General features: G+C 40.7%; 1 protein-coding gene across 7 annotated transcripts in view; it reads right to left on the reverse strand.

Moving 5' to 3' along the window:
- The window catches only part of STK39 (serine/threonine kinase 39), a 293,574-nt gene that overhangs the window by 114,368 nt on the left and 157,334 nt on the right, over nucleotides 1-21,872 (reverse strand). For all 7 annotated transcript variants that reach the window (NM_001410961.1, NM_013233.3, XM_047443944.1 and 4 more), the window contains 2 exons: nucleotides 6,720-6,842; nucleotides 6,593-6,622 (listed from right to left, as the gene is read on the reverse strand). In NM_001410961.1, coding sequence (NP_001397890.1) covers nucleotides 6,593-6,622; nucleotides 6,720-6,842 — 153 coding nt within the window. The remainder of the gene's footprint in view (nucleotides 1-6,592; nucleotides 6,623-6,719; nucleotides 6,843-21,872) is intronic.

Below are 21,872 nucleotides of genomic sequence, written 5' to 3' on the forward strand. Positions count from 1 at the left end.
ATATTATAGCTAAATGCAATGTGCTATCCTGGATTGGATCCTGGCAAAAACAAGGGACACTAGTAGGCAAACTAGTGACATGGGAACAAATTCTGGGGCTTAGTTGACAGTCACATGGCAGCGCTGGTTTCTGAGTTGTAACAAATTTGTCAGGAATACATAAGAAATCAACAGTGGGGGAGATTGCATGAGGAATATATGGGAACTCTGCACTGTCCCTGCAACGTTTCTATAAATCGAAAATTATTCCAAAATCAAAAGTTCATTTTCAGATATATTGCAGATTTCTGGATTTCTGAAAAACATACCTATCTTTTCTAACAACTGCTCAAAAGGGCAGTCACCTGCAATAACAACACCTTTTAGAAAGTGGTATCATGAAAATATCAGGTTAAAGCAGTCTGTGATGGCTAAGGATAACCATAATAAAAGTGGAGGGAGAAGTTAAATCTCTCTCTCCATCTCCATATGGGTATAGAACAAACACGTTTGACAGCTCACAGGCATTTGGAAAACATGTTTTCGTAGAAATATTTTTTTTTTCTGAGATGGAGTTTCACTCAGTCACCTAGGCTGGAGTGCAGTGGCATGATCTCAGCTCACTGCAACCTCCGCCTCCTGGGTTCAAGCGATTCTCCTGCCTCAGCCTCCTGAGTAGCTGGGATTACAGATGCACACCACCATGCTCGGCTAATTTTTTGTATTTTTAGTAGAGACAGGGTTTCACCATGTTGGCCAGGCTGGTCTTGAACTCCTGGCCTCAGGTGATCCACCCGCCTCAGCCTCCAAGTGCTGGGATTACAGGCATGAGCCACTGCGCCTGACCCACAGAAATAATTTTTAAAAGCTAACAGCAGTCTTAAATGACATGTGACAATAGCAATAAGTAATATAAGGAAAAAAATTAGTTTTCACATTGCATCTAATCTCTAATAAAATTAACTCAATTTAAATACCAAATGTATTTTCTCCTCAGAGCAAAATCCCAGAATTAGGAAACAGAAATATTTCCATAATTAGCCAAGTCTAGATTCTTGATAACAAAACTTTTCAATATACCTTTTGTGAGCCCTACTGGGCTTCAGCCAGAAACCTTTCCCACCTGCTTCATTACCCTTGATTAAATAAACACAACTTTCCCAAGGGATTTCTGAAACATTTTCTTTTTCCTTATTTTTATTTTGGAAATTTCTGATGGACATTTAAAACAAATCTTCAGGAATTTTGAGCACACCAGCTTCCTGGATTCCAGTCTGGACTTCTGGATTCCGAGGGATTTGTGCAGTTTTCCTAGCCAGTCCTTGATCCTAGCTGTGAATCAGAATCCTGAGAGCAGCTTTTTAAAAATCAGAGTTGCCTGGACATCATCCCAAATTACCAAATCAGAATCTGTGGGTTGAGTCTAGACACTGCATTTTTAAAGGTTTCCAGCCAGGGTTGTGAACTGTTTATTTTCATGTCACCTAACTGAGATGCTACTATAAAAAAGAGTGTTACTTTAATAGAAGCCTTAGCAAATGCCCTCCTCAGTTAAATGAACCCAAATGAAACTATAAATTTAAAGATAAAGTCAATTTCACTTTTTATGTAGAAAATTAGGATATAATGCAAAATTGACAGAAAGTCATAAAACATGTACTTATTATTTTTGACAAAAAGAGATTCCAAAACCACTGGTCAAAAGAAGATCAATAATGGGATAACAGTTGAAAAGTTTTATATAACCTAAGACGCTATATAAGCTAGGAAACACTACCTAAGGAAACTGTCCTTGCAAATACCACCCCTTCCCCGACCCCCAAAGAGATGAAAAGCATCCAGCTAGCGAGCTGTCTTTACTTTTATGAAATTCCCACAGTGCCTAACACAGTTCCAAGTGGAAATCAGGCACAGATTAAACATCTGTTTAATTAATATTATTAATAATAACATTTAGTCTTCACTGGCTTCCATCAACCAAGTAGAATATGATGATAAACAAATGAAACAAGGATGAGCTATCTACTTGTTATAAATTATTAATTACTAGTGGGTGACTAATACTTCGATATTTCTTTTTTTTTTTTTTAATTATACTTTAAGTTCTAGGGTACATGTGCACAACGTGCAGGTTTGTTACATAGGTATACATGTGCCATGTTGGTTTGCTGCACCCATTAACTCGTCATTTACATTAGGTATATCTCCTAATGCTATCCCTCCCCCCTCCCCCAACTCCATGACAGGCCCCAGTGTGTGATGTTCCCCATCCTGTGTCCAAGTGTTCTCATTGTTCAATTCCCACCTATAAGTGAGAACATGCGGTGTTTGGTTCTCTGTCCTTGCGATAGTTTGCTCAGAATGATGGTTTCCAGCTTCATCCATGTCCCTACAAAGGACATGAACTCATCCTTTTTTTAATACTTTGATATTTCTAAAATATCAGGTTAGGAACACAAGGCCAATTTTTCAATGTGATGGCTATGAATCTCAAGCCAGATCTGAATTCCAGGATAAGTAATGCAATTCTAAAATCTTACAGATTATACTGGAAATTCTCTTGGACTTAGGAGGATCTCCAAATACGACCCAGGATGAGGTGGATCTTCTCAATGTCCCTCTGACAAACATCCCACTCTGGCCTTCTCAGTCTTCTTTGATTAATACTGTAATACTTGGTCATTCTACCTCATACTTCCTAGGAGGTCAAATAGCCCCTCACTCATTAAGCTTTCCTAAAATATCCCTAGTTTACTGTAGCACCTTACTCTGTCTAAACATGGTACTAACAAAGCTACTTTTCTGAACTTCACCTCAATTATATGTCTTCTGATCCCTTGAATCACTTCTGACCTACTCATAAATACTATATGCCTACTCATGCACTTGTTTAATATTCGACTTGCAGTGCATACCCAATTCATGTCATCAGTGAACATGTATAGTGTCTACTAGATGCAAAAGAAACACAAACTTCCATGTTTTTCATTTTTTTCATAAAATACTATCTCAATCTTCTAGTGGCTTATAGTCAAAAACAACTGAATTGCAATGTAATGACAAACATGAAAAAGCTTATTAAAATGTAAATACTCTGGCATTTAAATGTGTTATTTGGCACAGATAAGCATTTTCACTCTCAAAGATGTTTACAGGTATAAGGTGCACTGTCAGAAGCTGTATATACTGATTGGTACAGCTATTGATAGCAACTACAAAAATTCAAAATCAGGCCGGGCACAGTGGCTCACGCTTGTAATCCCAGCACTTCTGGAGGCCGAGGCTGGCAGATCACGAGGTCAGGAGATCGAGACCACGGTGAAACCCTGTCTCTACTAAAAATACAAAAAATTAGCTAGGCATGGTGGCAGGCACCTGTAGTCCCAGCTACTGGGAGAGGCTGAGGCAGGAGAAAGGCGTGAACCCGGGAAGCACAGCTTGCAGAGAGCCGAGATTGCGCCACTGCACTCCAGCCTGGGCAACAGAGTGAGACTCCATCTCAAAAAAAAAAAAAAAAAATTCAAAATCAGCAGACACATAAAACAATCACAATTCTAAGTACCTATAATTTACTTATCTATGTGCCCCCTGAAATACATACACAAAAAAGTTAAGGGAATGGTATTTGTAATAGCAGCCTAAGTGCTCGCCAAGAAGGAAATGGTTAAATAAACAATTTTCATTCATCTAATACAATACTATGTGCTGGGAAATAAAAAAGAGGCAGATCTATAGTTCCTAAGGTGGAAAGATTGCAAAAACAATCAAGCAAGTTGCAAAAATATTTTCTAGTTTTTGTAATTCCATTCATGTTTTAAAAATGACACGCTAGATTTTTTAATGAACATATTAGTATGGAAAGAAACAGAAAAGGTCTGGAAGAAAACTCTGTTCAAACTGATGACTTCTGTGGAACAAAGTGATAGTTACAGGGGTGAAAAGGGGAGCAGGATAAAAGCGGTCTTTCAGTTTTTATTATATGTCATTCTCCTATGTTTTTCAAATCATTATTCTATGTCTCTTCTCAGTAAGGCCTATCCTGACCAACTCATCTAAAATTACAACTTCCCACCACACTCCCTGAAGCCCCCATCCCATTCTGTTTCTTTCTATCACTCCTATTCCATTGTAACAAACCACATAATTTACTTACTTATTAAGGCTATTATATATTGTTTACCTACTCCCATAAGAACGTGAGCTCCACAAGGACGGGGATTTTGCTCTGTATTTCTCACTGACGTATCCCTTAAACCTACTAAGACAGGGCACATAGTAGGGACATAATACATATTTGCTGAATAGTTACATATTTAACACTTTTTAATTTCCTTTATAATAGATAAATAAAATACTTCATGCTTTGCTTACAGAAAGCAGTTTGGGGTAGTTGGCAAATCAGAGGGACACTTTAATTAAAAGCTGAAAGGACACAGGAAGCATCACTGTAGCATCTCTTAATACAGCTCAAGATAATCAAATGTCAAGGCTGTCAAAGGAATGGGTGTCAAAAAACTAGCCTGAGAAGCTGTGCAATAGCAGGTGGGGCCTGTTATTCCTAAAATTTGGTGGAAGTGTTTACATGCAAACACATGTATCCTTTCACAGAAATAAGAGTTCTATTCATATGCTTCTTTAATTATAAATCAATATGTTAACAGACATATGGTGCTGAGAAATCAAATGAGTCTAGATGCAGTAAACCACCTATGACTTTCATATCCCATTTAAGAAGGTCAGTACTGATGCCTGAAGATCAACTCACGGCACACTACATAGTCTTTCCCTTCCTGTCTGTGCAGAAAATATTCTTGCCAAAAAGATACTGCTATTCTCCAAATAACAAATCAGCTATCAGAGCAATTTCAACAAGCACACAGTAAGAGATTATCCTAAATCCTTATGACCTGCACCCATCAGCCTTACTAGCAAGGCAGGATCCAATGGATATCGTCCAATGAAGATTTCTTGTGGTGAACAACAAATGTTTTGTGAGTCAATGATGCTACTTTAACCATGTTATGTTGTTATATTTCTCAGCAGAACTGACACTTTTAGTAAGAAATACTCTTAGAAATAGCAGAAAAGCCTAGACTCTGCACCTTAGATAAAATGAGAGAAAGGAAGGAGAAATAGAGTTCATGATACATGGTTAAGATCATTCTGAAAACTTAGCACAACATCTGTGTGGTCAATGTGTTCCACGTGGGGCTCATCACCCCTGCTCCTAACAAAGGGGGATGAGGTCTCTGATCAAAGCTTATATATATATTTTTCTGAGGTGCAGTCTGGCTCTGTCACCCAGGTTGGAGTGCAGTGGCACAATCTCAGCTCACTGCAACCTCCACTTCCCGGGTTCGAGCAATTCTCGTGCCTCAGCCTCCCGAGTACAGATGCCTGCCACCATGCCCAGCTAATTTTGTATTTTTAGTAGAGACGGGGTTTCGCCATGTTAGCCTGGCTGGTCTCGAATTCCTGACCTCACGTGATCCACCCGACTCGGCCTCCAAAAGCGCTGGGATTACAGGAGTGAGCCACCGCACCTGGCCAAAGTTTATATTTTATGTATGAAATTGAGAGGTGAATTAAATGATAAACATAGGAGAAAACAAAATCTGAAGGAGAGCTACCATGGGGAGGCAGGCAAGCTGAAAAATGCCTAGGAAAGGCCTATCCACATGGCATGCAAGATGGAGAGAGAAGGATGAGAGGAAAGAAGAGGAGAAGAAAGGGTGGCCTGTGGCTCTGCTGTCCTCCTCCTTACAAGACCCAGGCTGGCTACTGCCACTTCAAACTCCATGATGACAGGTACTACATTTAATCAAAAGGAAATGTCTGCTGATTAAAAAAAATTGGGATGGATATCATTTGTAGTCCAAAGATTTTGTTTTCTTAATGAGAATTTATTAAGGTATACATTAATTACTAGGTCTGTAAAATATTTGGAGCTATTTAAATATGCTCAAATTTCCTCTAGGAGAATTAGCAGGTCTTGTGAACTACAGTTATCATTAGGCATTAGGATAATTAATCAAATGGAGGAAGTAAATCAAATACGATCTCTTAATCAAAAGATGACCAGGCCTCAAAGGGAAGCTGTTAAAATTTTTTGAGTGCTCCTTAACCTACTAAGGTATTATTTGGAAGATTTAAAAACCAAGACCAACAGACTCAACCAAGAGTTTCTAACCATTTTAATATCTACTTTATTGCAAACAAAAAACATGGAAGACACTTTGCCTGTATGGTTACTATGTTTTCTAAAGGCAGTAATCCTAAGAGTTAAAATTAATGGATTACCTAGTCTGTGACAAGGATTCCGTGGAGGGTTTTGTGTACGGGATTTTGCCAACCCTCATGGCGACTTTCTTATAAGTACTGGGATCATCCTCATTTGACAGATGAGGAAACAGGCTCAGAAAGCAAAGTAATTTGCCCCGATTTATTCAGCCCAAAGTAACTCAGACAGAATTAGGAGCTGCAAAGTCCTCGTGCCTTTCCTTTTTCTTTCTACTCCATGAGATTTTGAAGCATCTCCCCTAAATGGATCAGACTCTGATACCACAAGAAAGGAATGAAATGGCAAAATAATAAATAAATAGCCACAGCTCACCTCTGGATTTTCTTCTTTTACTCTTCGTGACTGTAAAACAATTATGTATCCATTAATATATATACACACACACAATCACAAAAATAAAATTTACACAGATTAGCTCATCGTCAACGATGTCATTTACCTTTTCCTGAGAAAAAGCTGCTTTCCCTTCTTCGCTCTTCTCATCCATCTCGTCGTCACTCCACTCCCAGTCCCCGTCTTCGGTTTTATGAAGGTGACCACTTGACCCAGGAACTCTTCTTACCTGAATCAAAACAAGCCCACACAATTCTTCACTAGTCAAATGTGAACCATTTCACTGGTGCTGCAACTTGGGTTATACGGCATACACACCAACCTGAAAATAACCTGAGTGGCTGTGAATCCAGGGATAGCTAGCGGTTAAGATCCAAAAAGACTACACAGCCTCCAGGTTCCCAAACTCATCCTCTTTCCAAAAATGCTGTGTTTTTTGAAATGCATTACTATATACATGAAGAACAAAATATTTTGGAAGAACATTGCACATATAAGCAATTAAGGATCAAGCTCATTTTTCATGTTTACTTCAGTTAACACTTTATTAGTTGCCATATACAAAAGGCCATGTGGTAGGCATCAAATTGCCTAAGGAAGCGCATGCAAGCAACATCCTGCTGACTGAGCAAAGGCAGAGAAATCAGGAAGCCTAATGACGCATACTAGACCATGGGTATTGGCAATCTAAAAACCTAAGACAACAAAGCACACCCTTCTATTGCCACCTCACTCTCTTGCAGAACCTGACAATTATGCTTATTTCCCCAGGATTCTGCTCAACCTATTTGAACAAAACAAAACAGCACCAGACCATTCTTAACACACTTTGTAGCACTTATGAGACCTGTGAGATTGCTAGGAACACAGCTTGATAATCAGCAGCCATGCTAGTGTCTAGATTATAATCAGTCTTCCTCATTATTTCAAATTGTTTTGAGCTAGGGTAGAGATGTAATCCATAGGGCAAGCTTTCCCAAATGTCTTTGTGGTTGGAAAAGCAAAACTTTTAAAAGGACAGGATGACTGAAGTGAGCCTCTGAGACCAAAGTAATTTGCTTAAAAAATTTACTAAGATGTAATTAAACAAAGCACTGTAGCAGATGAACATGATGTGAATGCAACAGCCATGGTCCAAGGATTCAGAGAAACTTCGTGTGGAAAGGGAGCTTCCAGACAATCTAGTCCAACCTCTTCATTTTACAGATGAGGAGATGGAGGCCCAGAACGTGACCCAAGATCACACAGTAATGAAGGCAAAGCAAGGCAAGAAACAAAGCCTTAGACTCCCACTCAAATGTGACTCTCCTTATGCCACTGAACGATAACCACCAGCAAGAAGTTATCTAAAACTGTCCTTTGAAGACTGAAAGACTATGATGTGAAGAAAGCCTACTTTTTATAATAGACACTATTTAGTTGCATCACAGGAGCTTCAGTAAAACCAAGGGAAACAACACAGAACTTAAATTTAAATATTTAAGTTTAGTATACATGTCAGATCAATGCGAAGTCATAAAAAATGCATGCTAGGGGTTGGCTTTGATTTGAGGGCCTTACCATCTAGAACCTGTAAAAGTAATCCTGACCAGTTGGTCTAGAAGATTTGAGCTCCAACATAGAAAGTCAGCAAGAAAGTACAAAGTACTTTTTCATAATTGCAAATAGTTATGCTCATTTTTTTTTAAAAAAAGCTTTTTTCTCCAACCCCTACCCCCCAAATTTTTCTTTTTAACTAATTTATCTTTGAAATAGTACTTAGTAAAACCTCTTTTGGGCTTGGCATCAGATATTTCTTCCGCTTGCATTTTGAGTTGCTCTAAAAGTCTTTTCTAATGACGGTGATTTTAATGGTGCTTATAGATGTTGGCAAAGTACTATAGAAAAAATGCCAAAATGCACTTCAGCATTTGCAGAACAGATTGCTCATTTTAATGCTTGCAGAAATAGCTAAAGGAAGAGAAAATAATTTTCTGTTGACATATACAATAAAATTATTTTCTTAGCAACGCTGATCATGGTGGTAGCAACATAGAGAAACATATGTTAATGACTACATTGAAAAGGAAGAATTTAAAGCCACATCTATTACAAAACATACTGTCAACTAAGAAGTGAGAAAACAAGTAAAATTATCTATCAGACACAGAACAAAACTCTGTCTTTACTAAAATTGTAGAACCCAAGGATAGCTGATGAATTAGTATTCTTTAAGTACTCACCCAAGAGATTACACTAAGGAAATCTTCTTTTCCAGAGAGAGTCTAGATTAACATCCTAAAATTTAGTTTACGTCCTTTCCCCCTCTGGCTCTATGTTTACAAGCTCTGTCAGTTTCATTTCCACAAGCAGAATCCAACTATAAACAATAAAATGGCCCATTTTCTCCCATTTTTATTTTATTTTAGAGCCCTGGCTCTCTCTCTGTTTGTTTTATTTGCTGGAAGAGAGAAAGATAAAACAAAATGTCTAGGATTATAGCTCTAGACATTGAAAGAAATGGTGGGATGGGCCTTTAAGCAATAAACATTGGTTAAACAAATAAATATACAAATGTTGACCAAATTAAGAGAAAGAACATTCAAAAACCTATGTAGGGAATAGTATTGGTAAAATTGCCACTAGAATAAGAATACTAACTTGTCTTTGAGAATGTCCCCTCAGCTTACTCCTAGGAATAAACTTGCAGCATAATTTGAAACCCAGGTTTCATGGTGGATTTATGTGACATTGACGTCTACCAAAGGGACGGGAAATCAATTTTACAAAGTTACATCCTTGTAGGGAGTTTGTAGGGATGATGAGAAACAACTTTTATCTTTTAGAGCCATCTAAGTTTCACACAGTTTAGTAAATGGTCTTATTCGGGAATTGAATAATACCTTGCAAAGTTAAAACTTCAAAAAAAAAAAAAAAGTGCAGAAAAGCTTCCATCTTCCCCACACCCAACGATGAGAATGGAGATTATTTACCCTTGTAATTCTAATTTCATTGATTATTACATTGCTCTTGTTCTACTAAATGATTTGCTCATTTAGTAAAGCCAAGAGGTGGTAGAAAGAATTTATTCTCTATTTTCTCTGTCAGGGATTTTAAAAAATCCATTGCTTCTCAGAGAAACAAGCTCAGTTTAAGTGATACCTAAAGGAATTCATAATCTCACAAATTCTTCAGGTCATAGTTGGCAGTAGTAAGGTTAGAAAATGTTTTATATTTTCTTCTCTTTCTCTAAATGTTATTTTTAATGAAAACCCGTTAAATAAATGAACCCAAGTTCTGATTCCAAGAAAAGAAGGCAGGCTCAGCCAGATGAACAAAGGAGAAGCATGGTTCCTGGCCAGTGCTGGTGGCCACCAGGCAAGATGTAGGTGGCCACTGGGCAGGGCTAGGATGAGCAGCCACAGAGAGGAGATGGCAGCAATGTGGACAACAGTCCCTAGAGCGGTCTGACCTGTCACTCCAGTGCTGCATCTCTAAACAGGAGCTGTCTGCAAATCTGCAAATACAGTTGTACCGTCCCCATGCAACTCAAAGAAGGCACCTGGCCCCTGACACAGGAATGGGGAGGAAGGATATGAAGAACCACCAGGTAAAATTTCTACGATAGCATCCTAAATGTGTCAGAAATGCAGGTGTGTGATTCTAACACTCTACTGAACAAAAGAAGAATTTACTGACCCAAAGAAATACTGACCAAAACTTAGTAGAATTTGTCTCAATCTGGCATGTCCATCTGTCCAAAAAAAAAAAAAAAAAAGGAAAGCACCCACTAGCCTCTCCCACTGCCACATTAACTTCTCCCTGGAAATGGGATTTGGGAATCTCCTTGGAGTGATTTTTACCCCTTCGGTGGGAATCCTGCACTCAGCCTCTCCTCCACCTGCTGAACATATGGCATGCTGACTACAGTCGAAACCCAAGTGATCCAGGGAGCCCACCAGCCTCACGTCCACCTATCAAGAACCTACTGCACCAGCAGAAAGCAACACATAGTGACATTCCTGTTACCAGGCATACTACTGATGAGAAGTATAAAAAATATTTCTAATTAATTGCTGTTTATCATGTACTTGAGGCACTGCCAAGCAGACAAAAAGCCTTCTAAATCATGAAAAATTAACGAAATGTGACTCAGTAAGACGTTAGCAATAAATATTTTACTGTCTCCATAGTTTATACTCTGACACTGCTCCTCTCTGACCACCACCTCTCTCGGCACCTCCATCCTACACCTACTGCCTGGCTCCACTGTCCTCTCCAGCCTAGGTCCTCTCCTGCTCTTCCACCAGCCCCCTCCCGGCTCTACTCCTCAGCATGCAAGGCCTGGCACCCACAGCTGACTCTAGATGCTACACTTACTAGTACTCAATGTCCCCATGTCCCCTGGCCAGATGAACCTTCCTATCCAATCCACACTTGAAAAGCAAGCCCTGGGATCAGCCCCAACATGTACTCTCTAATCCTGAACTGCCAGCCAAGAAGAGCACCAGTCAAGTGCGCATGATGCCTGGTGCCACTACAGATGGCCACCGGCCACTCCTAGATGGGGCATCAGTGCTGCTACAACCCTGCCCCTCCAAGTGAAGCCCATAGACTGGGGCAACAGCAGCACCTGGGAGGGAGCTTGTTAGAAATGCAGAATCTTGGGACCCACCCTAGACCCACAAAATCAGAATCTTCCTTTTCAATAAGATCCCCCAGGGGTCATATTCTCATTCAAGTTTGAGAAACACTGTGCTAGACAACACTTTCCCTCATTGCCAGCCTAGCCCCTTGCCCCTAGCTGGTATTCATACAATGTTAGGTACTATGTTCTACGGATTTTACATGTATTAACTAATTTAATCTTCATAGTAGCTTGTGAGCTGAGAATGATTGTACTGCCCCATTTTTCAGAGGTAAAACTGTGACACATGTAACATGTGTCCATGGCCCAAGCTCATACAGCTGGGAGGTGACAATACTAGGAGATGTAAGAGCAGGAGTCAGATCCCCAACTCTCCATTCCTCTCTCTGCTACTGCAGCTTACAGTAGGGCCTCAGTTCACCAGCCCCAATCACTTAAAATAACTTCCTCTGCTACCCTGAGAGCAAGTCCATCCAATGGAGCAAAGGTGGCTCTTGTTATGTTTCAGCAAAGAGACTGGAGGCATTTTGGCCCTACAGATTGGTAGAACTTTGAACTTGAGAGAGATGATTTAGGGTATTTGGTGGAAGAAATTTCTAAGCAGCAAAGCATTCAAGAGGTGACTTGGGTGCTGTTAAAGGCATTCAGTTTTAAAAGGGAAACAGCATAAAAGTTTGGAAAATTTGCAGCCTGACGATGTGACAGAAAAGAAAATCCCAGCCTGGCACAGTGGCTTACACCTGTAATCCCAGCACTTTGGGAGGCCGAGGTGGGCAGATCACAAGGTCAGGAGACTGAGACCATCCTGGCTAACACAGTGAAACCCCGTCTCCACTAAAAATACAAAAAAATTAGCCGGGCGTGGTGGCAGGTGCCTGTAGTCCCAGCTACTCAGGAGGCTGAGGCAGGAGAATGACGTGAACCTGGGAGGCGGAGTTTGCAGTGAGCCGAGATGGCACCACTGCACTCCAGCCTGGGCGACAGAGTGAGACTCCTTCTCCAAAAAAAAAAAAATGTTAATCACCAAGACAATGGGGAAAACATCTCCAGGGCATGACAGAGAACTTTGTGGCAGCCCCTCCCCTCACAGGGCTGGAAGTTTAGCAGGAAAAAAATGGTTTCTTGGGCTGGGCCCAGGGTCCCTCTGTTGTGTGCAGTTTAGGGACTTGGTGCCTAGCATCACAGCTGCTCCAGCTGTGACTGCTCCAGCTTGACTCAAAGGAGCCAAGGTACACCTCGGGCCATTGCTTCAGAGGGTGCAAACCCCAAGGCTTGGCAGCTTCCACATGATGTTGAGCCTGTAGATGCACAGAAGTCAAGAACTGGGAACCTCTGCCTAGATTTAGGAGGATATATGGAAACACCTGGATATCAAGGCAGCAATTTGCTGCAGGGGTGGGGCTCTCATGAAGAACCTCTGCTTGGCCAGTGCAGAAGGGAAATGTGGGGTCAGAGGCCCCACACGGTCTCTATTGGGGCACTGCCTAGTGGAGCTATGATAAGAGGGCTGATGTCCTCCAGACCCCAGAATGGTAGATCCACCTACAGCTTGCACCATGGGCCTGGAAAAGCCGCAGACACTCAACGCCAGCCCATGAAAGCAGCTGGGAGGGAGGCTGTACCCTACAAAGCCACAGGGACAGAGGTGCACAAGACCATGGGAACCCATCTCTTGCATCAGCGTAACCTGGATGTGAGACATGGAGTCAAAGGAGATCATTTTGGAGCTTTAAGATTTGACTGCCTCACTGGATTTCAGATTTGGATGAGGCCTGTAGCCCCTTTGGTTTGGCCAATTTCTCCCATTTGGAACAGCTGTATTTACCCAATTCCTGTACCCCCACTGTATCTAGGAAGTAACTAACTTGCTTTTGATTCTATAAGATCATAGGTGGAAGGGACTTGCCTTGTCTCAGATGAGATGTTGGACTGTGGACTTTTGAGTTAATACTGAAATGAGTTCTGACTCATTTCAGAAGGCATGATTGATTCTGAAATGTGAGGACATGCGATTTGGGAGGGGCCAGGGGCAGAATGATATGGTTTGGCTGTGTCCGCACCCAAATCTCATCTTGAATTGTAACTCCCACAGTTCCCACATGTCACAGGAGGAACCCGGTGGGAGGTAATTGAATTATGGGGACAAGTCTTTCCTACACTGTCCTCATGACAGTGAATAGATCTCACAAGATCTGATGGTTTTAAAAAGAGAAGTTCCCCTGCACAAGCTCTCTTTGCCTACTGACATCCATGTAAGATGTGACTTGTTCCTCCTTGCTTTCTGCCATGATTGTGAGGCCTCCCTAGCCACATGGAACTATAAGCCCATTAAACCTCTATTTCTTTTGTAAATTGCCTAGTCTCGGGTATGTCTTTATCAGCAGCGCAAAAACATACTAACACATACTCACAGCCCCTATCTTCCTAATAAACTTCACACTCTCACCCTCTTTCCCTGCTGTGTGCAAAGACAATGGATTCCTTCTTTTTACAAGACCAATGCCTCTGGGAGCACTCCTCATGTATCTATTCACTTATTCCTTCCTTCAAGACACTTATAGCCAGGCCCTGCCTCCTCTACATCATCTGTAAATATGCTTAAGTCTCTCTTATACTTCTACCAAAAGAGCGCCAGGGACCCCACTGATTTTCATTCTTCCTTAAGAATTACTCCATCACTCTTCTCTTTCACTGTCAACGTTTTGCTAAAGATAGTCTCCAATTGTGGCCCTCACATCCTATCTTATCCTCACACTTTAATACCGTGCAAAAATGGTATCTGTCCCTACTAGGCCACCAATGCTATTCTCTCTCCCTTTGAGATTTAATGACTTCCTAATAGTGTAATTCAATGCTCTTCCCTGTGGCCATAACACTGTCTTGTAGACACTGCTGAACTCCATTCTTTTCCTTTAGCTCTTTCCAAATCTGTGTCCACAATATTTCTCCTCCTACCTCTCTTGTCCTTCTGTGTCCTCCAACTGTTCTTTGCTCTGCCTCCACGATAAATGTGACTGCTCCCAGCCCAGTACACATTCTCAGCTCACTAGACACTGTTGCCCTGAGTGAACACACCTTCTCCATGGCCTCCCTGACCTCATCTAAATTGAAATCCTTGGAAACTGCATTTCTTAGTCTTGTTTTCCAAGTGTTCTGTTGGATATAAACACCTTATCTGTTTTTCAAAGTTGAGTTTGCCACCCCTAACCCATTTGTTAATCCTCCATCTCCAGCCTCATTCTGACACTTCTCCAGTGTTGTCTTAGTTAATGCCTTTGAATCTCATCCCAACCCCCACTGCCATCATGTTCACCAGGGGCATGGTCATATAATGCTCCTAACATGATGCCTGCCATATAAGAAGCACTCAAAACATGACAGGTGCTATTATCATGAATATCCTCAATGCTTCTCCCAACCAAATCTATTTATCTATTTATAATCCAGCCCCAAATTATTTATTTGTTTATATATTTTCTACCACATCTCTTTAGATACCCTACAATCCAGTTATGTACATGTCACATATTTTTGTGACTCTACCATTTCCCATATGCATTACCTACATCCTTGGCCTGATCTGCCCTTCCACATTCTCCTTTTTTTTTTTTTTTTTAAGCTAAGAAGCTTTTGTCGATCCAATTGGAATTTTGCCTATACCTCTATGTCATTCTACTTTGTGTTACACTGGACATATAACATATCAAACTGTATACTCCTTCAGGGCAGAGAGCTTGTTTTAGACATTTTTTAAAAATCACTTCTTACTTCATTTGGTCAACAAAGTTTTATTGACTACCTTCGTCTACCAAGTTCTAGACCAAAGATGAATAAAACAAAATCTTACACCTTGGAGTAGTTCACAGTCCAGACAGGTGGACAGACATTTAAGCTAGAAATTTTTTTTAAAAGACATAAATACTATAAAAAAGATACAAATCATGGGAATCTGCAGAAGAGAGGATGACTGTCTATCAAGGGACAGTATGGAAGGGTAGCTGCTAGAGCATTAGCCCAGCAAGCAGAGAAAGCAAAAACTTAGCACATTCTACTGACTCATGTAATGTGGCTGGGTCACAAGATACTGGGATCTAGGGGGCTGGTTTCAGAAAATGGCTAAGAGCAAGGCTGGAAAAGTTGTGTAAAGAATCTTGTACAATCAGGAAGGCAAATTCAAAGGCCTATAGGAGGCAAGCAGAAAATGCAAAGGAAAAGCTGGCCAAGTGAGGACTTGGGTGACCTGAGGAGCACCTGTCCCACCATAAGAAGGCAACCAGCATTGACTGACGGCTGCCACAGGGAGACAGCCCCAGCATAGCCAGATCTTCTGATTCTTCTAGAGAAGTGGATAATTTGGATTTTTATGTGAATGCTCTTGACTTATTCTAATGTTAACATATCAAGTTAAAAAAAAAAAAAACTTTCTCTGTGCAGCCTAAAAATTAATGTCTTTGGGACAAATTTGGCCTGTGAGTTCACACCCCTGTTGTACACCAGCCAGAGGCTTAGAATTCAGACAATGGGAAAACATGGAAAGCTTTCAGGTGGGCATGGTGGGGGGAAGGGAGAATGAGAAAATCTGGATTTCTGAAAGCAGAGCAGAGGATGTGCTAGGACTTGAGGATAACAAAGGCCTGAAAGAAATCAGCATGTTAATCACTCCAGTCACTACTGACATGTAACTAATCACCCTAAAACTGAGTGACTTAAAGCAACAATTAGCCCTATGACAATCAGACTTGCTTCCAAGATGGCTGACAGCAAGCACGAGAGACCCCGAGTCAGGACAAGCCCTTTCTGAATGCCTGACACATAGCAACAGTGCGAGATAATGAAATGACTGTTGTTTTAAGAAGGTTGTCAGTGAGGGCTTAAAGAAAAGTGAGGGAAATGTTCCTGGAAGCTAGAGGAAAGGAGGACCCTGTTGTGCAGTGACAGAGAGTTTAGCAACACTGACATCTACAGTAAAGTGGGAAGCGGAAATGCACCTAATGAACTCAATGATCTATCTAAAGAGATTTCCAGGCAGCCACTTAAAGTGACACCTGGGTTCTGCTCACTGCCTATAAGATGTGAGCAGAGAGAGATGAGCTAAAGAATAAACTGTTAAATATAAACCTGTTTCTCATTCCCAATCTCTCCACACATCAAACAATTCTTGAGCCAAGAAATGGTTTCAGAGCAAAAATCAAACCCAGGGTGAAACTGCACAACCTTTTAAGAATTCAGAAAGGTCTAAGGTGGTGCCTTGTAGACACCTTCAAACGTACCTAACACCTTCTGAGGATCTTAATAGTTTGTGTTGCAGAACCTCTGCATTAAATAACAGGGATTCCAAGAATCACAGGGCACTGCCCCTTAGCTGTCTCACAGGGAACCCATGGTAGACAAAGCATCTTGTGGTCATGGATCTTCACTAATGGAGTGAACCCAACAAGATTCACAGAAAACCCACTACCTTTTTTGATATCGTACTACAAAATACTGCCAAGTTAGACAAAAAGAAACAGAATACAAAATAAAAAGAGGCCTTCAGATCCTAAACTTTTGCTGGCAGGAAGCAGTCTGAGAAGGCTCCTTAGCTGCAAACACTGACTCTTTCTTGTGGAAAAAGAAGGATGGCTTAAAGAACAGAACTTGAGAGGGGAGCCAAGAGCCTTAGAAAACAGCAAAACTGGACAGAACCCTGATCAAGGAGCTGGCCACCCACGCCTGGCTAGACTCCAGAACTCCCATGGACCTGTGTGCTCCCGTTTTCCCCCTTTTGGGCAAATCTTTAAGACGTGTGTATTCCTGCCGCATCCTGAGTGTATGTCCAGCAGATATTTGTCTCTTTAGTTCACAGGCTTTAAGATTGAAAAATCAAGGAGCTGTGCCCATGGCACCAGTCCTGAGGAGCCTCCTCTGCACCCAGATCTGATTTAGAGGACAAGGTCATGATTTTGAGCCTAAGCCTGGAGCTGCCACAGGATGAAACTTTTGGAGAGTCTTAAAAGCTCAAGAGCATATTTTAGACATGGAAGAGATGTAAGTTGTTGTGGCCAGAGCGTAGATAGATAGCAAATTGTTTTTTCCAAAGATGCCCATGACAATATCTCCTGCCCCACATGTCCAAGAATCTTGCCACTTCACTACCAACAGACAGAGTCCAGTGCCCTCTCCTTGAATCTGGGTGGATTTTTGCCTTACCTATAACCAACAGAAATGAGGCAGAAGTGAGGGAAGGTCAGAAAAGGTGATGCAACATCTATCTTGCTCACTGGAATACTCAACGGTTGAAGTCTTTAAGTGCCATGTAAGCATTCCAACTGCCTTCAGACCCCTGTGCTGTGAGGTAGCCCAGACTAGCCCCCAGGTGACCTGACCATCTGGCGCAGTGGCATGACACTAGAAGCTGAACAGCCTGAATCCCTGACCCACAGAAACTGGGAGACTTACTAAAGGACTGCTGCTGTCTTCAGCCATTTGGTCTAGGGTGATGTGTTGCACAGAAATGGATGATCAGGATAACGATGGTGATAAGGGATTTACTGAATGTGTTTTCATTTTGTATACTTAGTGATTCTTTGAAAATTAATAGGTCGTATTTGGCAGCCCTTGTCATACCAGATAACAGACTCTACCACACACTTTAAGTCATGTTTTCTAATTGTGTATACTCCAGGCCTCTGAACATTCAGATTTTAATTTACACTTACAAAGTATCTCCATCTGACTATGTTATTATACACTAAAATTTACCAAGAGGAAAAATGCCCATTTCTATTAATCATAGGCAAGTGGCAAGAGCTAAATATTGGACCTTTTAGTCAGTGATTCCCATTAACATTTATTTTTTGACTTCTTGGAATTTAAAGCTCTACCAGTTCTGCTAAAATTAGGCATTTCCTTTTTCTATAATGTGAAGGAATAGAACAAAAGAATGAGGATATGAAAAAGTTCTATAGGCAATTAGAAAAAAAATTCTAGAGAAACAAAGACTTTATAATTTAATAATGATAATTAAAAATACTCAGCTAGTTTGGTGAAAGACACATTTATAGCAACTTCCTTATAATGCCTGAATATTTTCTAACGGGAAGAGAAGCAAATTTGACAAACATTGCTCTTCAGATAATGAGAATGGAATACTGTAACTTTGGAAACCCAACATGAAAGGGCAATGTCTTGAAAGAGAATGTTCTGGAAGTTGGAAGGGAACTATTCTGAGGAGGCAGCACAAAGCACAGAGAAGCAATTAGATTTCTTATTCTGCATCAGTCCTATCAAACCTCCAATATGGCATTTCCCCAAGTGAGGGCAACAAAGAACAATGGCAACAGCTAAGAGCCACGAAAGCAGAATCCAATTTTGTAACTATTGTCTTTGAAAACTAAAGCTCCTGCTGGAAAGGGTGCCAAGCTGATCTGTAACTTTAGCTAATAAAGAGAACGATAGGAACACTCTGTCCTGGTAAGACAAATAGCACAGAAGAGAAAACACACATCATGTAAGACCAAAGGAAAACGCAGAAACCAAATGTTTGGCTCCAGAGCAGAGTCGAGGTTGCTTAGGATACAGCAATAAGTTAAGAGTTAGCTTACCTGCAGAAGAAAGAGGGGTGGCGAAGAGAAAGAGAAGCACACAGCCAACCAAATATGGCTCCAGGCAGGGCTGGAACCAGAAGATTTCTGACAAGCAACAGAGAAACACACTGCGATGGTCAGTTCTAGTTGTCAGGTTGACTGTGCTAGTGCCCACAGTTACTCCCTCCAACACTAAGCTAGGCATTGCTGTGAAGGCATTTGTTAGACGTGATTAAGTCCATAATTGACTTTAAGTAAAGGGAAATTATCCTTGATAATCTGGGTGGGCCTGATTCAATACGTGGAAAAGCTTTCAGAGCTGAGCTAAGGCTTCTCTGAAGAAATTCCATCTGGGGACAACAGCTTTAGCTGTGCCCTAGAGCTCCAGCTTGCTCTTCCTGACAGCCTACCCTGGGAATGTTAGGCTTGCCTAGACCGCCCCCATAAATCAAGTAAGCCAAGTCCTTGCAATGTATCTCTTTATAGGTCTCTCCTACTGGTTCTGTTTCTCCTGTTGAAGCCTGACTGATACACTAAAATCCAGCAGCCTCACTATCGGTATTTATAAACAAAAGGCAAATTAGCTAGCAGAAGAGCAATACCCCCCATAACAGAATATGTTAATGTCTCTAAGTGAAATATTAAGAGAAACTGAACTGAAAGGACAAAAAATGAAAACTAAGATGATATGAATTACCATAACTTAAGAGAGACTAAATTCTTACCTTACAAAGACACCTGAAATAAAGATCAGGGGTTAGCTACTGGTTAAACATCATTTATGTTAGGTCTAAGAAATATAATCGACACCACCCCCTTGGAAAACCTTCTGTCAAGAACTACGTCTGCTTAGGGATTAATGACCCGAGAAAAAACCTGGAAAGACACTCAAATGCACTGATTTTTGTGGAATGGAAACTCCATTCAGACTCACAAGATGTAATATAGAAAATATTCCTAATATTCTAATTTCACTAAGATATCTGATTTTTTTCAACATACAAATGTATGCAAACATTTCAGAATAACTTTTAAATGTCACTACCAAGGGGGTTCCTTCATAAAAATTATTACTAACTGCCCTAAAGATACATTTGGTCTATTACTCAGCTTACAGTTCCTGGATAAATGGCAGCAATAGGCTCTCTGAAAAAGTAGGTCAATACATAGTCAATTTTCAGTGTGGTCTCTATTATCAAGGACCAAGTCAAGTCTATCACCTGCATAGAGAGAGATATATACATGATATGCCTCTTCCATGTGAAAAAGGAGGCACAGAAATCAGTTGCTATCCTGTCCCCCAGCAGCAGAACTTCACAGTTCCTCACTGTTGATCAGAGTGTGAGTTTCAAATAGAAACATGTTTTTATTCTTCCTGGTTAGAAAATTAATTCAAATCCATATTATGGAATAGTATGTAGCCAGTAACAAGTATCAGAGACCATCAAAATATAACAAGTAGAAAAGGCTAATAGAGAACAGCATCCACCACTGTGTAAAAGAAAATGAGGAGAGGCACACATACACATTTCTAGATATGTTCGTATATGCACATAGCATTTTGGGAAGCATTTACAGGATGTGGTAATGCCTACTGGGTTGGAGACTTTTTCACCATGTTGTACACTTCAAGGAGGCCCAATAAATAACCCTCTCTCCTCCTATCACTAAACTAACTTAGAAATCAGACCAGTAAGCATAAAAGGATCAAAAATCACCCTTATTACTTATAAAGGTGATATCTGAGATTGTGGCTTAAACACTGAGTAAACAGCCTTTCTTTCTCAGTTGAGAAACTGATCTCTAGATTTCGAAGAGACTCCCCTAGGGCTCCCCAGCGATGTTAATCAGCACATTCCTCCCTCACACCGGTGGTCCTCAGTGACCAAGGGTACCTCCCTGGGTGAGCAGGCCAGCTCCAGGAGAAAGTGAGGAAGACGGAGTGGGGCCACAGTTTTGTGCCTGATTTTTCCCTCCAAATTCACTAATCAGGTAAGTTCCTAGGCAAAGAGTGTCCTAGAATGTTTTGCTAAAGGAACATCAGGAGTGGAAAAGCAACATTCTCCCTGCCTTCTTCGTCCAGTAAAGGTTTTGCATCATTTGAATTTTTATCATTATGAGTTACACTGTCAGTCAAAACAGAAGTATCTAAAAATTAAAAACATACTTCTTTTAAAAAACACAAACAACATGGAAGCAGATAAAACAGAAAGTATAAGTAACCACTTCCTGTTTCTAAACAAGGTACAAAGATGTGACTTTCAATGGAAGGATAAGTTGCCTAATAACTTTTCAAGAACTAAAAAATGAAAAATATTTCTAAAACCTCAACATGACAATATGGTCAAATCAAGAATGTCAACTTATTTTCACCTGCATTTATTGCAATACATGTTAACAACTTAGGATTTCTAACATTTTTAATAGATGTATTCTTTGAGACAGTTTCGCTCTTGTTGCCCAGGCTGGAGGGCAATGGCGCAATCTCGGCTCACCACAACCTCCGCCTCCCAGGTCCTAGCAATTCTCCTGCCTCAGCCTCCCGAGTAGCTGGGATTACAGGCGCCCGCCACCACGCCCAGCTAACTTTGTATTTTTAGCAGAGATGGGGCTTCTCCATGTTGGTCAGGCTGGTCTCGAACTCCTGACCTCAGGTGATGCACTTGCCTTGTCCTCCCAAAGGCATGAGCCACCGCACCTGGTCTAATATTTTATTTTTATGCAACAAATTCTGGAATGAAGACTCACTGTTATAATAAGCTATTTGGTTTGGTCAATGAAACTGCCATTAAGTTTTTGAATGCATAGTAATGTAAAGATATGAGTTCATGTTTATTAATACTCTGCTTTTCCATTCCTCTCCGAGGTAGCTGAGTTTGTGTTCTTCTACATTCTGTCTACAGAATAATGGATACTGTTGTTTTTGTTAAGGTGGCATTTGCTACAAAATTCCAAAGATATTGAGAAAATGTTCTAGCATATAAGAAAATTTGGAAGTGGGAAAGCATGTATCCCGAAAGTAAGATGCAGTTACATCTGTTCTGTGTCCCTATATTTAGAGTATCCT

This window comes from Homo sapiens, chromosome 2, assembly GCF_000001405.40.
Source record: "Homo sapiens chromosome 2, GRCh38.p14 Primary Assembly".
NCBI lineage: Eukaryota > Metazoa > Chordata > Mammalia > Primates > Hominidae > Homo > Homo sapiens.